Source organism: Homo sapiens, chromosome 1 (genome assembly GCF_000001405.40).
Source record: "Homo sapiens chromosome 1, GRCh38.p14 Primary Assembly".
In the NCBI taxonomy this organism is placed as follows: Eukaryota; Metazoa; Chordata; class Mammalia; order Primates; family Hominidae; genus Homo; species Homo sapiens.
Window position 1 is genome coordinate 42,922,633 of NC_000001.11, and position 14,570 is coordinate 42,937,202.

General features: G+C 54.0%; 1 protein-coding gene across 1 annotated transcript in view, besides 9 other annotated features; it reads right to left on the reverse strand.

Annotated features, from left to right (window-relative positions):
- Nucleotides 635–754: an enhancer, noted in NCBI's record as "active region_899". NCBI's record gives its function as "activates an Ori minimal core promoter by ATAC-STARR-seq in GM12878 lymphoblastoid cells {active_cell/tissue: GM12878}" and the evidence as "EXISTENCE:reporter gene assay evidence [ECO:0000049][PMID:35858748]".
- Nucleotides 1,411–1,540: an enhancer, noted in NCBI's record as "active region_900". NCBI's record gives its function as "activates an Ori minimal core promoter by ATAC-STARR-seq in GM12878 lymphoblastoid cells {active_cell/tissue: GM12878}" and the evidence as "EXISTENCE:reporter gene assay evidence [ECO:0000049][PMID:35858748]".
- Nucleotides 1,961–2,050: an enhancer, noted in NCBI's record as "active region_901". NCBI's record gives its function as "activates an Ori minimal core promoter by ATAC-STARR-seq in GM12878 lymphoblastoid cells {active_cell/tissue: GM12878}" and the evidence as "EXISTENCE:reporter gene assay evidence [ECO:0000049][PMID:35858748]".
- SLC2A1 (solute carrier family 2 member 1) overlaps nt 2,721–14,570 on the reverse strand; it is a 33,516-nt gene continuing 21,666 nt past the window's right edge. The window contains exons 3-10 of the mRNA NM_006516.4: nt 8,414–8,574; nt 7,994–8,234; nt 7,241–7,403; nt 6,961–7,148; nt 6,578–6,682; nt 6,300–6,401; nt 4,973–5,176; nt 2,721–4,609 (exon numbers count right to left, since the gene is read on the reverse strand). Of these exons, the coding sequence (NP_006507.2) occupies nt 4,409–4,609; nt 4,973–5,176; nt 6,300–6,401; nt 6,578–6,682; nt 6,961–7,148; nt 7,241–7,403; nt 7,994–8,234; nt 8,414–8,574 (1,365 nt within the window). The 3' untranslated portion in view covers nt 2,721–4,408. The remainder of the gene's footprint in view (nt 4,610–4,972; nt 5,177–6,299; nt 6,402–6,577; nt 6,683–6,960; nt 7,149–7,240; nt 7,404–7,993; nt 8,235–8,413; nt 8,575–14,570) is intronic.
- Nucleotides 4,422–4,921: an enhancer, noted in NCBI's record as "H3K4me1 hESC enhancer chr1:43392725-43393224 (GRCh37/hg19 assembly coordinates)". NCBI's record gives its function as "activates a minimal SCP1, AML or CMV promoter by ChIP-STARR-seq in naive H9 embryonic stem cells {active_cell/tissue: H9 hESC(naive)}" and the evidence as "EXISTENCE:reporter gene assay evidence [ECO:0000049][PMID:30033119]".
- Nucleotides 5,953–6,595: an enhancer, noted in NCBI's record as "H3K4me1 hESC enhancer chr1:43394256-43394898 (GRCh37/hg19 assembly coordinates)". NCBI's record gives its function as "activates a minimal SCP1, AML or CMV promoter by ChIP-STARR-seq in naive H9 embryonic stem cells {active_cell/tissue: H9 hESC(naive)}" and the evidence as "EXISTENCE:reporter gene assay evidence [ECO:0000049][PMID:30033119]".
- Nucleotides 6,596–7,236: an enhancer, noted in NCBI's record as "H3K4me1 hESC enhancer chr1:43394899-43395539 (GRCh37/hg19 assembly coordinates)". NCBI's record gives its function as "activates a minimal SCP1, AML or CMV promoter by ChIP-STARR-seq in naive H9 embryonic stem cells {active_cell/tissue: H9 hESC(naive)}" and the evidence as "EXISTENCE:reporter gene assay evidence [ECO:0000049][PMID:30033119]".
- Nucleotides 9,507–9,676: an enhancer, noted in NCBI's record as "active region_902". NCBI's record gives its function as "activates an Ori minimal core promoter by ATAC-STARR-seq in GM12878 lymphoblastoid cells {active_cell/tissue: GM12878}" and the evidence as "EXISTENCE:reporter gene assay evidence [ECO:0000049][PMID:35858748]".
- Nucleotides 12,014–12,806: an enhancer, noted in NCBI's record as "H3K27ac-H3K4me1 hESC enhancer chr1:43400317-43401109 (GRCh37/hg19 assembly coordinates)". NCBI's record gives its function as "activates a minimal SCP1, AML or CMV promoter by ChIP-STARR-seq in primed H9 embryonic stem cells {active_cell/tissue: H9 hESC(primed)}" and the evidence as "EXISTENCE:reporter gene assay evidence [ECO:0000049][PMID:30033119]".
- Nucleotides 14,181–14,250: an enhancer, noted in NCBI's record as "active region_903". NCBI's record gives its function as "activates an Ori minimal core promoter by ATAC-STARR-seq in GM12878 lymphoblastoid cells {active_cell/tissue: GM12878}" and the evidence as "EXISTENCE:reporter gene assay evidence [ECO:0000049][PMID:35858748]".

Consider the following 14,570-nt stretch of genomic DNA (forward strand, 5'->3'; position numbering starts at 1 on the left):
AAGTGTGTACTCAGTTAGGTAATGGTTCAAAGAATTGAGCAAATGCTTCATAGAGAAAGTGACAGCTAATTTGGTATTTTGATATCAGATAATCTTATGGAGAGACCAAAGGCAGACCAGGAGAAAGGGGATTGAACAAAAAGTTTTAGGGTGAGGAGTTGTCCTGGGAACATAGAGTACATCAAGCTTCACTGGAGATTAGGGTGTGGAAGGAGTGTATTGGAAGATAAGGTCTGCAAAGGCCAGAATGTGGTTAAGGAATTTGGGCTTTATCATGAGAAAGTGGGGAGTATTAACCCACAGAATAATGTGGTCAGAACACATTTTTAGGAAGATCATTTGGGAAGCCAGGGTCAGGGTTACCAGATGGATTTGTTGTAGTAGGACCAGTCAAGGGTTCCCTCCAAAGCAACGTAGTATCTCTGAAACCCTGAAAGTGTGAGGTTAAACCCTGCCCTGATCAAAATGTTCACAAAACAGCCACTAGTTGGCAGGAATGTGCCAATGAATGGATGAGCCAGACTCCCAACTAGCAGCTTCTGTTCTCTCACTCCTTGAGCTGTGGTGGGGTGTGATCACCTAGTGGATAACAGGAGTAGGTGGGAGGGCAGTCTCTTCGGAGGAAACTTCAGAGGCCCAGAGGAGAAGGAGAACGTGATCAGAGAACAGAGTGGATGGATGGCTGGAGGATAGGGTTGGGGTTGAGTGGGGGCAGTGGTGAGGTCGAGAGCTTGATCATGAATGACTTGAATTTTCAGGTTAAGAAACACAGACATTATCCTGAGAGAAATGAGGAACCCAGGAAGGTTTTTAAGTAGGAGAGAGACATAACTAGATTTGAATTTTAGGAAGATCATCGATTGCAGTGTGGAGAATGAGGAGGAAGCAGGAAGCACAGAGATCAGTGAGAAGGCAGTTGCAGTGATCCTGGGAGAGGTGATGAGTGGCCAGCAGTAGGCCCAGCAATTGCAATGGACAGACGGACCAGAACTGTAGGAGACTTATGAAATAAAAATCACAGAATGAAAAAGGGGTCATTAAAAATGTAGTTGACAGAAAAGAATGATATCCTTTCCCTATTATTAAATACATCCTGAATTGTCAGATCGTCTACCTAAAATTGCACTGTAAGAATTCAGATTTCAGAACTTCTTGGCTTCTAAATTCTACTTCATTCATTCAATAATCCTGACCAGAGTCTGTGGTGGGAAGTGGGGACCAAGGAATGGCTCAGTCCTGTTCCTGCGGCAGCTGCCCTACCCCCCCAACCCCCGCCCTCGTCCCCGCCCCCGCCCCCAATGTGGTGGAAAGACACTCAATTCCGGTACAGCGTGGAGAGCGCTTTGATGGAGGAAATACAAGCCGATGTAGTGTTCCCGGGAAAACCTGATCCAGAAGGCTTCCAGGGAGAGGAGATTTTGCGCCTAAGATTTCAAATGAAAGATCTCATAACACTGTCAGTGAAACAACTAAGCACTGCTGGGAAAAGATGGTGGCCTGGAGAACAGTCCCGTTATCTATTTACCCCTTTTCGTCAGAAACCGTAGACGTCACCTTACGCGGGATAGGAACCCGGGTGAGCTACGTCCCCAGGGATGCCCAGCGATACACAAGTCACCGTCACCCCCTCCAGAGTAAACCGCATCGCCTGGCAAGCAGGCGCCCAGGTCGTCCCCAAGGGCCAGCGCCTGGAACCGCCAGGGTGTGATTGGTGGAGTCTTGGAGCCCGCCCCTCGTCGGGCCCAACAATGCGCCTCTGATTGGTGGAGAAACCACCTGGCCCCGCCCATCCCCAATCGTGTCCGTGCGCCGCCGGTGGCCCGGCTTAGGGGACCGCTGTGAGGTCTGGAGAGGATGCGCCATCGACCCCGGCAGTAGGCGGCCGAACCTTGGCCCCAAATCTTCTACCCCGGGGTGGATTGCGGCCCCTAGAGGAAAGGCGTCAGGGGACCGACCGGCAGCTGTGCCGTCGCGGCACTCTGGACCACGCTGAGGGCGGGCCGGCTTCCCTGCGCCTGCGCTGACATTTTGCAGTTTGGGAAATGGCGGTGCTCGGGGACGTCGATACTGACCCAGGGCGGGAGGCAGCTGCGAGTGGATTGTCGGGCCTTTTCAGACCGGGGTCTGAACCTCTGGGCCGGGGCGGGGCTCGGGTGCTGCCTGGCTCTGCCAACGTTCTGGGCCCTCGAGTGTGAATGAGCTCCGCCCGCCATCCGCCTTGTAGTCCTCGCGTCCGGCCACCGGCGCGGGGCTCCCACCCATCCCCACCCCACCCCACCCCACCCCACCCCGTCTGTTTCCTTTCTGGTCCAGTGGGGACAGCCCTGAGTGAGCAGCGTCGTAGGAGTAAGATACCTGGGCCCCCGGCCTCTCCTTCTTGCCCTGCCCCCGCACCCCCTCCCGCACGGGGACCCGGATAACTCCTTTCAACAGAAGTCTTTTGGGAGCACACGATAAGGCTTCCTTTCATCTGGCCTCAGCCCTTCACCAGTTAACCGCCCTGTCCCCAGGCTCAGGCAGGGCATATTCTTCGCAACCTGCTCTTCTTTGTTGAGATGCAGATGGATGTCCTCATAGATTCTTTATACCTAATGGTAATACATATAGGTATTTCCATTTGCTAAGTACCAGTTTTCCTTTCTCACACCCTTCTTACAACCCCTCTTCATGTCAGGGAGAAAAAAGCCTGCCTGTAGTTACAAAAGCAAACTTCTCCCAGATTTTGTCAGCTGAGCCTCTAGAGACAAATATCTTTGGTGTTTTATTTCCTCCAGTATTTTCTGAGTGCCTGCTGTGCATCAAGCACTGTACTGAATAGTGCTGAGGACCCACAGGAACCAAATCGGCATCTTCTCATGAAATTCAGACTAGTGGCAGAAAACTGGACTTGTGATGAAGGAGCAGATGAAGTGCTCTGGAAATTCAGGGGTGAAGGAGGAGGATGAGCTGTCTTTAGAGATGAAGCAGTAGTATACAGAGGAACCAGAGGGGGCAATTCCAAATGAAATGAACACAGGGCAGCTTGACAGCTCATTGGGCCCATACAAAGAACGTGGTTCATTTTGTGTGTGTGGGGAGGGGTGCAGGAGGTGGGTGGAGTTAATGGAGTAGTGGTTGTATGGTACCATTGTTAAAAGCAGGTGTTTTAGCTTATTCACTGTGCGACTTCAGGCACATAACCTCTTTGAGCCTGTCCAATAAAGGTACAGTATTTACTTCACATTCAAAATAATGCATTTCAAGCCTGAGCATCACGGCTGGCACAAAACTAGTGTTTTTTTGAACACCAACTATCAAATATGTGATAGAAATGCCTTGAATGTCAAGATAAAGAATGTATATATTCTCTGGGTAACAGGGATCAAACAGATTTTTGAGCAAGAGGACACTGATGAGAGGTACGTGTAAGGGACTGGATCCTGAGTCGAAGTCTAAGCCGTTGCAGTGGTTGCAACCCCACTTACTTCTGTCTCACTCCCATCCAAACCTCCTACCCTCAATCCACAAGCATTTCAAAACCATGTTTCTAAAAACCAGCCATTTATATCTGTTTAGGTAAGTAACAGGAGTGAGGTGGTGTATTTACAAGTTGGCTTGTCCAGATATACTATAACTTAGTGTCTGTATTTAATATTGACAACCAAAAATATATATAAATATCTTGCATCTATACACAACAGGGCAGGAGTCTCCATGTCTTCTTGAGCAGTGAGTTTGCAGGCTCCCACAGGCCCTCTTCTCATGGTAATAGTGTGGCCCTCAGTGCAAAGGAGACTAGAACCCGGCAGCCCAGACTGGCCCTTCCCCTCTCCTCCCTGCACTCCAGTGCTCCCAACTGGTCTCAGGTAAAGAAAGATTAATTTGAGTGGTTGGGTAGGAAGAGATGGGAAGGGGCAAATCCTAATGGAGCCTGACCCCTAGAGTGGGGAGATCCAGGCCAGCAGAACGGGTGGCCATAGCCACCTCCTGGGATAGAAGCTTTGTAGTTCATAGTTCGATTAGTGTGTCCTTAGGACATAGGTCCAGCCCTACAGATTAGCTGGGTGAAGAAGGCAAGTGTCTCGACAGGGCTTAGTCTCCACCCTCAGGCATGGAACCATTCAGGGTGAAGCCTGGGATGTGGGCACAGGAGACTCAGGCTGATATAAAAATAACAAAATCAGTAATAAAAAAATTATAAAACCTGTTGCTTGTCTGAATAGATTTGAGCAACAGTCTTGCTTTTGTTAAAATCCTGGAGCCGTTAAGTCCTGAATATTCTTCTGGACATCATTGCTGGCTGGAGAAAGGAGCCCCAGGCCCGGCTCGGCTGACATCTGTCAGGTTTGGAAGTCTCATCCAGCTGCCTGTGCTCCTGAGAGATCCTTAGGGCTGCTGGGAGCAGGCCGGGCTGGTGATCTGGGGCGACTCACACTTGGGAATCAGCCCCCAGGGGATGGAACAGCTCCTCGGGTGTCTTGTCACTTTGGCTGGCTCCCCCCTGCCGGAAGCCGGAAGCGATCTCATCGAAGGTCCGGCCTTTAGTCTCAGGAACTTTGAAGTAGGTGAAGATGAAGAACAGAACCAGGAGCACAGTGAAGATGATGAAGACGTAGGGACCACACAGTTGCTGAAAGACACACAGACACACTTGGTTGGAGTCATGACCCTACATCCTGGCTGTAGGACTTTGGATAAGTCACTTTACCTTTGGGCCTTTGAGCTGAAAAGGGAACATCCACCTACCCAGGGATGCTATCATAATTAACTGAGACCACGCTTGTACCTAGAATGTAACAGGCTCCAGGAGCACCATTCAAGGCTAAGGGGAGAACCCTGGAGTTGAGGTCAGCATTCTTGGTCATGTGACCTGGGCTTCCTACCCTCAGTTTCCTCCTCAGCATGATTCCTAATGAGAATGCTGGGCCAGCACTTTGCACAGCACTGTGGGGTCATGCGTGCGGGTGAGTATAGAGACAGTGGGGGTTCTCACCTCCACATACTGGAAGCACATGCCCACAATGAAATTTGAGGTCCAGTTGGAGAAGCCTGCAACGGCAATGGCAGCTGGACGTGGACCCTGGCTGAAGAGTTCAGCCACGATGAACCATGGGATGGGGCCAGGACCCACTTCAAAGAAGGCCACAAAGCCAAAGATGGCCACGATGCTCAGATAGGACATCCAGGGTAGCTGCTCCTGTTGAGGATGACGGAGAGGGGGAAAAGTTAGACTGGGTTGTGATGGATCCTCAGGGGAAACAGAAGCTACAGAGGCCAGAGCAGAGCTATGCGAGAAGGCAGGAAGCCTGGGGATGGTCCTGGATTTGTTGTGTATCCAGCATTGGGCCTAAGTTTCCTCATCCGAACAAAATGATTTAAGTCCTGCAGGGTGGCTGCAAGTGTTGAGTCCACCCGCTGGGAGTGGTAATGTGGTGTGCATGTGGACGGTGCTAAGAGGCCCCATGGTCCCCTGTCTGTGCCTGCAGCACAGTCCGCCTGTGGCAGGATGCAGAACATTCCTGGGGGTGGGGTGGATTCAGGTTCTAAGGCGTGTGAGGTGCCCAGCTCAGGCTGGCACAGAGTAAGCGCTAAGCATACGGTTCTGCATATAACCATTCTTGAGGAGGCCAGGGTAGAAAATTTATGGGCTTTCCACTTGCTGCCTGTCTGGCCTTTCGGCAACCACCAAACTTTCCAAGCCCAGGTTGAGCTGTAAAATGACAGTCATGGTGCTTTCCTTGCCCAGAGGCTAAATAAACGAGTGCCTGTGTGTGAGTGCCAGGCACAGGGTTAGCACAGCGGTCACAGTCACAGGCCTGGGACTGAGGTTGATTCCTGGCTTCATCCTTTATCTGACAAGTTACTAACCTCACTGGGACTTAAGCTTCCTCCCCCATAAAATGGGAAGAACTGAACTACACCTCCAGTCGTGTGAACTGAATGAGGCAAGGCATGTTTCTGCGCCTCTATGGGGAGGACAGCACTACTTCCCGGGGTTGCTGTGAAGATGAATTGAGGCTACAGATGAAGATTGGAAAGGGTTAATATTAGGCAAAGCAATTCCTTAAGGAGGTGAGAGTTTGGGGTCTGGGACCAGAGGTGCTGCGCTGAGAATCCATCAAGCAGGGAGGAGCAAGTTCAAGAGAGGATGTGTGTGGTTTGGAAGGAGACAACTTCAGGAGCCAGAAAGTCAGACCCACAGCCAGGGAGAATGCAGCCACCAAAAGGCCTGCCAGCCTGGGGCTGAGACAGGCATTTTGGGATATGAAGCCCAGGCAAACTCTCCCGCATCCCTCACTCTCCAGAACCTAGCAACTCACCAGCAGTGCTAGCGCGATGGTCATGAGTATGGCACAACCCGCCATGCCAGCGAGGCCTATGAGGTGCAGGGTCCGCCGGCCTGCTCGCTCCACCACAAACAGCTGTGGGCAGAGACAGTGTCAGTGCCACCCCTGCCTAGTGCCCTTCTGAACCCACCCACCCAGAGGCCTTGCCTCAAGAGCTGAGAAAGTCACAGGGCACTGCAAAGACCAGTGGGGAAGATGGCACTGCCTCCTCCCTGGGGTTTGGCTGGGGGGGCCAGTAAGCAAAGACTCACCGACACGACAGTGAAGGCCGTGTTGACGATACCGGAGCCAATGGTGGCATACACAGGCTGCTGCACCCCCGCCTTCTCGAAGATGCTCGTGGAGTAATAGAAGACCTGCCAGACAAGAGAAACTGTTGGGGCCTACCTGGACATTGTGGCCCTTCCCTGCCTCTGTAGCAGTGGATGTGGGACCCAGGATGAGTAAAGAATGAAGGGGACAAATACTCAGGCAGAAGGGACACTGCACTGCAGTGACCTTACGGGCTTGGGGTCTAAAGGGAAACTTCTTCGGCAGAGGCGTATCTGTTGTTTCAAGTTTGGGACTTGTTCACCATGCACACTTGACCAGAGGGCTTGGCTGGGGCACAGGAAGGGTGGGTGGGGGCACTCACAGCGTTGATGCCAGACAGCTGCTGGGACAGCTGCAGCACCACAGCGATGAGGATGGGCTGGCGGTAGGCGGGGGAGCGGAACAGCTCCAGGATGGTGACCTTCTTCTCCCGCATCATCTGCCGACTCTCTTCCTTCATCTCCTGCAGGTCATGGGTCACGTCAGCTGTCCCGCGCAGCTTCTTTAGCACTGGGGGGACCGGAGGGAAGGTGAGGGTGGCTCAGAGTGGGAAGAAGGCCAGGGCTCAGGGAGTGGGGAGGAGGGCAGGGCCATGCCCGTACCACTCTTGGCCCGGTTCTCCTCGTTGCGGTTGATGAGCAGGAAGCGGGGACTCTCGGGGCAGAAGGGCAGCACGATGCACTGCAGCAGGGCCGGGATGAAGATGATGCTCAGCAGCAGGGGCCACAGGTCCTTGTTGCCCATGATGGAGTCCAGGCCGAACACCTGGGGGAAGCAGGGGCCGTGAGCGCCTCTGCCCTGACCCCCTTTCCCACCCCGTCCTGCCAGAGTGGCCTTCCCTACTTTGTGTCAGCTGCTGCTTCAGGGAAGGGCCCCAGTTCTAGAGGCTCTGCCACTAGCATGAGCCCTGTTTCTCAGTTTCCTCATCGGTCACATGGGAAAAGTAGGACCTACCCCACAGTGTTGCTGGGAGGACAAATGACAAGGCCACAGATGTGTCCAGCACAGAGAATGGGGGCTGCTACTCTGCCACAAGAGGGTTTTGGGGACAGGGAAGGGGAAGCCTCCTGGAGAGAGGGTACTGTGCATAACAGCCTGCGGCATGTTGGGGGAAGGCGGGCCCTGTGGTTGGAAGCCTAGAGTGAGAAGAAAGGGACTGAGAAGAGTCAAGTCATCTTGCTGTCAACTGGGAGGCCATGGTGCTGTGTTCTCTGGACCTGTGTACCATAGTTGTCCTCTGCAAGGCTGTGGGGGCTGGGCGGAAGAGAAACTCTGCCCTGCTGGGCACAGATCCGAGAGCCACTGAAGCTGTGGGCAGGGGCCGTGCCAGGCAGGTAGATCCTGCCCCAGCTTACCTGGGCGATGAGGATGCCGACGACGATGCCCAGCTGGTGCAGGGTGCCCAGGGCCCCACGAAGGGCTGTGGGTGACACTTCACCCACATACATGGGCACGAAGCCTGTGGTCAGGCCGCAGTACACACCGATGATGAAGCGGCCCAGGATCAGCATCTCAAAGGACTTGCCCAGTTTCGAGAAGCCCATGAGCACGGCGGACACGAAGGCCAGCAGGTTCATCATCAGCATTGAATTCCGCCTGGGGACGGGGTCACAGGTCAGGCCAGTGCCCACATTCCTTGGGCTCCGAGGGGCTGGGTCAGAGGTAATACCCTGGAACAGGCAGATAAGTCTCCCCTACCTCCCACCCCATCTGGGACTCCCTGGGCAGGAGGGCATGGGCCCTCCAAGGGCAGTGCCAGGACCTCTCCTACTTACCGGCCAAAGCGGTTAACGAAAAGGCCCACAGAGAAGGAGCCAATCATGCCCCCAACAGAAAAGATGGCCACTGAGAGGGACCAGAGCGTGGTGAGCGTGGTGGGCAGGATGCTCTCCCCATAGCGGTGGACCCATGTCTGGTTGTAGAACTCCTCGATCACCTGCAGGGGGAGATGCAGCCTGGGTGAGCAAGCCAGGGGCCAGGACCCAGTCTTCCTTTTCCTTTCCCCTTGCACCCCTCCCTAAGAGAGGGCCAGGGCCTGGCTCTGCCACAGATTCACTGCATGTTCTTGAGCCAAGTCCCTCTATTTTTGTGGGCCTCACTTTCCCCAGGCGAGAAACAAGGGGTTGGAGTTCATCTGAGAGCCCCGCCAACTCTCCCACTTCCCCTAACGTGTGGTTTCCAGTGCCCTGTGGTTTCACAGGCTCAGTGTGACTTGCTGGGATGATGGCAAGTGATCAGTGGTGGAAGTTCAGGCATAGAACAGAGAGGTACAAGACCAGGTGTGGTGGCTCACGCCTGTAATCCCAGCACTTTGGGAGATCAAGGCAAGCAGATCACTGGAGATCAGGAGTTCGAGACCAGCCAGACCAACATGGTGAAACCCTATCTCTACTAAAAATAAAAAAAAAATTAGCTGGACGTGGTGGCGCAAGCATGTAATCCCAGCTACACGGGAGGCTAAGGCAGAATTGCTTAAACCCAGGACACGGAGTTTGCAGTGAGCCAAGACTGTGCCACTGCACTTCAGCCTGAGTGACAGAGTGAGACTCTATGTCTCAAAAAAAAAAAAAAAAAAAGAGAAATACAGAAGGAAAAGGGTCTTCCCACTTGCCCCTTTTCTCCTCACCATGTCTCAAAGCCCCAGGGGCCCATCTCCTGCCATCAGGCCCTCCCCCCAACCCCTTGCTGGGGAGGAAGCAGGGCTTGACAGACAGGTTCCGCCATCCAGGAAGTACAGACTCCCTGACCGCACTGAGGGCCTGGTGTGACAAACTCACACATGTCACCCTTCAGAAGTGCTTGAAAGACTCACGCTGTGGCTTTCTGTTCCCCAGGCCTAGCTCCCTTGTGTCTGGCCTGCGAGCACCCCCTTGAAGGACCCACGGCCTCCTCCCCTCTCCCAAGGGCCCAGCTAGGAGGTATGGGGAAAGGTTCCACACAAGGAAGCAGTTCCAGGAACTGGAAACGCCCGTCCTAGGGCAGCCCTGCCCACCAGCCCTGCCCCCACCCTGGCCAGCTCCCACGGATGTGGTAGGCAGGCAGCACCCGTTCTGCCTGAGCACACTCACCACACTCTCAGTGCCATGGGACTGGCCAGACCCACCCAGCCACACGTATAGCAGAGTGCAGGCCCTAGTTACCCAGAAACGGCTTCTTATGCACGTATACCATCACACACACATACCCGTGCTCATAGAATCTAAATATTCCTGCTTTAGCCAGTCACAAACTCACATGCCCCTCATCCCCTACCACTTACAGCTCAAACTCAATTCCATGTGAACCCAACCCATCCCAACACCCCTCCGTGTGTGTGCATGCCACAGGTTCATGCACACACAGCGGTATGCAGCCTCTGCAGCCTCCATCACTGCTGTTGGTCCTCCCTATCCCTTCCAACCCACTGAGGTCTAGCAGAAGAAGAAGGTGTGGGCAGGCACACTTGCCAAACCAAAGCCTGCAGTCCCAGAAATGCCCACCTATTCAAATATGCTGGGCCTGCCTCCTGGTGCCTTCCTTCCCATTGCTGTGGGTGCTCAGCCTCTAGCCATCTTTTCCCCTGCCCTGTCACAACCTGTCCCAAGTCAGCAGGCATCTGATGGAGGCCAGGCTCCAAGGGGCGAGGACAGTTGGTAGGGCAGAGGCAAGCCCTAAGGATCTGCTTGTCCGTTCCAAGGACGCCATGCAGGGCAGTGAATAGAAACCTGAACTCTGATTCTGGACACAACTAAATTCAGGTCCTAGCTCCACCCCTTATTTCCAGTGTGACCATGAGCAAGTTATTTCATCTGTGAGTTTCCATGGCCCCATTTCTAAAGTGCAGACATTAGCAGGAGCTGCTTCACAGTGCTGCAGGGAATCAGTGAAACAGTGCTTGGTGTCATCATCCCTAAAATCACCCCACTGCACACTGGTGGCCTGAAGGCTGTGCAGACCACTAACAGAGTCTCCCCAAGCCTTCAACCCGTAACTCAAAATCGGGGCTCCTGCCAGGTATCAATCCAATCTCCCTACCTACCACACCTTTGCACTCACTACACACCATCTCCCACCCCTCTACGCCTTTGAGATGCTACTACTCCTGCCTGGAAGGTACCCCTGGCCTTATTGCTGAAACCTTTCGAGATCCAGGTTTCCCTGACTCCAGGAGTTTGTCTTCCCTGAGGAAGACAGTTGATTCACACCATGGTCTGTCCCAGAGCCAGTGCCAGGGATACCTGGTGAGGAAATGGAGGAATCGAACCAAAGGTGTTAGGCTCTCCTCTTAGAACCCCTTGATTCTGCTGGGGGCAGACAGAAGGCAGATTTTGACAAAAAACAGAGTAACAAAATGCAAAGTGTTCTTCTGTGGACGAAACTAACCCCAGAGGAGGACTGGTTGGGAACGGTAATGCCCCGTTTATCAGGCTCCACCAAGAACAGGCTGCTCTGAATGAGGGTGGATATGGGAACGGTCCAGATAAATGGCGCTTGCCCTTCTGAGGGTCCAATCTTTCCTGACCCATTATGGGGTGAAAATGTGAAGAGATTTCACTTTGCTCTCCTGAGCAACCAGACCTACAAGCAGGGCTGCAGGGCAATGGTGTCTGCCCTTGGGGCTCTCTCCAGGGGCAAGGAGAGGTGTTTGTCCCTGTGCAGACTGGCTCCTGATGGCTAAATTTCTGCATTCCATAGTTCTAAGGTATTCCCCCAACCCTCTGTGGTTCAGAGGCTTGTCTTGTACAACTCTCCACACCTCTTTTGAAATTTGCCAAGAAGTCAGCAAATGGAATTTGTTTGAATTGTATACAAAGAAAGAGTAAATAGGTGCTAAGTAAGGCTTGAAACTACCTAAATAAGCTTGAAGATCTCTTGAGATGTTGGGGCAACTGACAAGAGGGCTGTGTGTAAGTGAGGTGTGACCAGAGCTCCACCCTGAGTTACGTCTCCTGCCTGTGGTCACACAGTCAAAGGGACCCAACCTTGTCCAGGGCTGGCTCCTGGACGCTGCCTAGCTGCTCTGTTACTCAGACCACTTTATGGGGTGGAGGAAGGGTGAGCAGCCAGCTCTCTGCATGTTCACCTTGGCCTAGACCCATCCTCTCCAGCCCACAGCAGCACTTCCTGGCCAAGCTGAGGCTGGGGAGTGGGTTTCTGCCTCTTGATGCCTGAGATTTCTGGGAAGAAGCCACGCCTGGTTTTCCAATTCCTACTGCTGGTTCCGGTGCTCTGTGCCCTCTCCTCCCTGGGGATTCGTATGGGGTTCCACGCTGACTCTTGGCCCAGGAAAGGCAGGGGGATGCTGGAGAATGAGAAGAACCCTACATGGGGAAAAGCTCTGGGGTCACATCCTCCCTAGAAGTGTCTGGGTGCACCTCAGGAAAGAAGAGTCTACTTATTATGCCCTGACAGGATCCCACAGGCCCAATCCCGCCGGCTCCCAGCAGCCTCCGCAACCCTGGGTCATGTGTGAGGTGAGACCTGGCACGTGCCTGTTCTGAACGCTCCCACCTCACATGCCCGTCCCAAGCTTAGGATTTAAACACTTGATGCTGCCACCACCCCACATCCATCCATCACCAGGTCCTCTCGATTCTGCCTCCGAGTCTGTCCTACTTCTCTACCCAGGCAGCCTGCCCTGGGTCTCATCTGGATTCTGCTCCCGACTCTTCCTATCCACCAAAGTCAGACCCCATTTCCCACAGTGAACCACCCCTCAGAATGCAGTCGGAGTCCTGCACACCAAATGTGCCAGGCTCGGCCATCCACCCGCTTCTCTGCTCCCTTCCCAGCCCAGTCTCTTCACCCAGCTGTGGAGTCTGGGTGGCGGCAAGCGTGTTGAGGAGGGAGGAGCGGTTCTGGTTAGTTCCTGGGGGGACTGCCATGGTGTCGGCCAGCCTAGAGCTGAGGGGCTACTACAGATCTCTGTCCAGGTGCCTCACTGAGCCTAGAGGACACCCACCATGGAGACCACCCTGGAGAAGCAGGTTGACTCTGGGCAGCTGAGATCCTTTGAACCGGATGGCTTCTGGTACGCGAAGCTATTCCTCACCCGGTGGCTCTCCTGGGGTGAGGGGGAGGCCTGCCCAAGCCTAAGGACACCTGGGAATCCCCACACCACCTCCCGCCAGTCGAGGCAACTGTGGGTGAGACTACATGTCTGCCCATCTGCCAAGGAACTTCTCACTTCCCCTTTGTAGAGGGGCATGAGGCGGCGAACACTGCCTGGCACATGGGTAAGCTGTTACTGCTGTCACTGTTGCTCTCTCAAGAAAAGAAGTCACCACTTTCGGAGGAGCCTTAGGGACAAGGTTTTCCATTTTGAAATTGCCAGAAATCATTACCCTAAGAATGTAAGAGTAAGGAGGAACCTGAAGGAACTACGGGCCTGCCTCAGGGAATAAAGCTAGTCTCCAGACCCTGCTCGGCTGCTCCTGGCAGAGGAACCCAGCACTCTGTAGCCCCAGAGGGCAGAGGTGCCAGGGCCAGACTCCAGCTCAGGGGAAGGAAGAGCTTTATAGACTTCAGGGTATGAGGCTGCCCACCTTACAGGTGGTGAGTTCCCTGTAAGTAGGGAGCATGCAAGTCAAAGTGCTCCAGAGCCGGACTGGGGTAAACATTTTATGTAAAAGGCTAGCTAGAATCCATTAGGTAGGGTCTGTGAGCCACATATGGCCTCTGTCACTCATTGTTCTTTTTTTCTCAACCTTGTAAAAATGTAAAAACCATTGTTAGCTCATGGGTTGCACAAAAACAGGCTGCTGGCTGGATGTGGCCCTCCTGCCAACCCTTGATCTAGGATTCTAGACCACTGCCAGGAGGGGTATGCGTTTTGGAACCTCTGGCTGGTCTCACCATCCTTCCCTCTAGACATTCCTTTACCCCAGGAGGACTAGGTCAGTTAGGTCATCCCCAGCAGGGATCCCTGGGCCAGGTTTAGGCTCGGTCTCAACTCTCCCTGTGCTCTACGGGATGCTATTGTGGGGAAGAAGGGGCTAAACTGCCAGCCAAGCTTTCAGCGCCAGTTACAAGGAGGAAAGGGCCAGCTTCTCCGGCTTAGCCTCTCAGCCTGGCCTTCACCCCTGTTCCTTGCCTGCCCCTGTCTTCCAGTTGGGGCTGGCCCCACACTGCCCTTCCCACAAGCTCTCAGCCCAGGGCCTTCATCTCCACAGCAACTCTCAGCCACACCCCAGGGTGAGCTGGGAGATTGGAGCCAGATGTTCCAGGTGGGGCTGGACAGATAACCCTGCCCACTGGGTCCCCTGGGGCCTCACTTTGGGGCCTGGGGGAAGAGGCCCAGGTTGGGGCTAGAGCTGGGCCCCAACCCCCCTGCAGAGGGCTGGACCACCCAGGCTGCTTCCCTGGAACAGCCCTGACATGGCTAGCCTCCAAACCAAGGCCAGGCCAGGCCAGGCCTCCCGGTAGACAGAGGAATCATCCCACTGCCGTGGCCACACCCGAAGCCCTTCTCAGCTCTTGCAATAAAGTGTCTCCTCTACCCCAACTATGACTCACAAGGCACACGCAGTGACTCCCTCATACGACCTAGACACCTCACACCTTTGCTTGGGCCTAATCACCTTTCAGAACATGCACAGATACTCCTCTGGAAAGCCTTCCTCCCGAGAACCACCCCTCCCACTCCACTGCAACTGGTTCTCAAACAGAGACGGCTTTGGTACCCCATAGGACATCTGCCAATGCCCAGAGACATTTTTGGTTGCCACACTGGCTACTGGTATCTAGAGGGCAGAAGCCAAGGATGCTGATAAACATCCTCCAATGCATGGGACAGGCCTCTACAACACCAGCAGAAACATCACAGTGCCAAGCTGAGAAACCCTGCTCTAAGGGCGAAGCACCCTCTCCCTCTTCCTTCCCTGCTCCCACTGTGCTTGCTCGCATTTCCATCATCGCCTTTAGAAGACTAACTGTAAGGTACCGTGTGCTCCC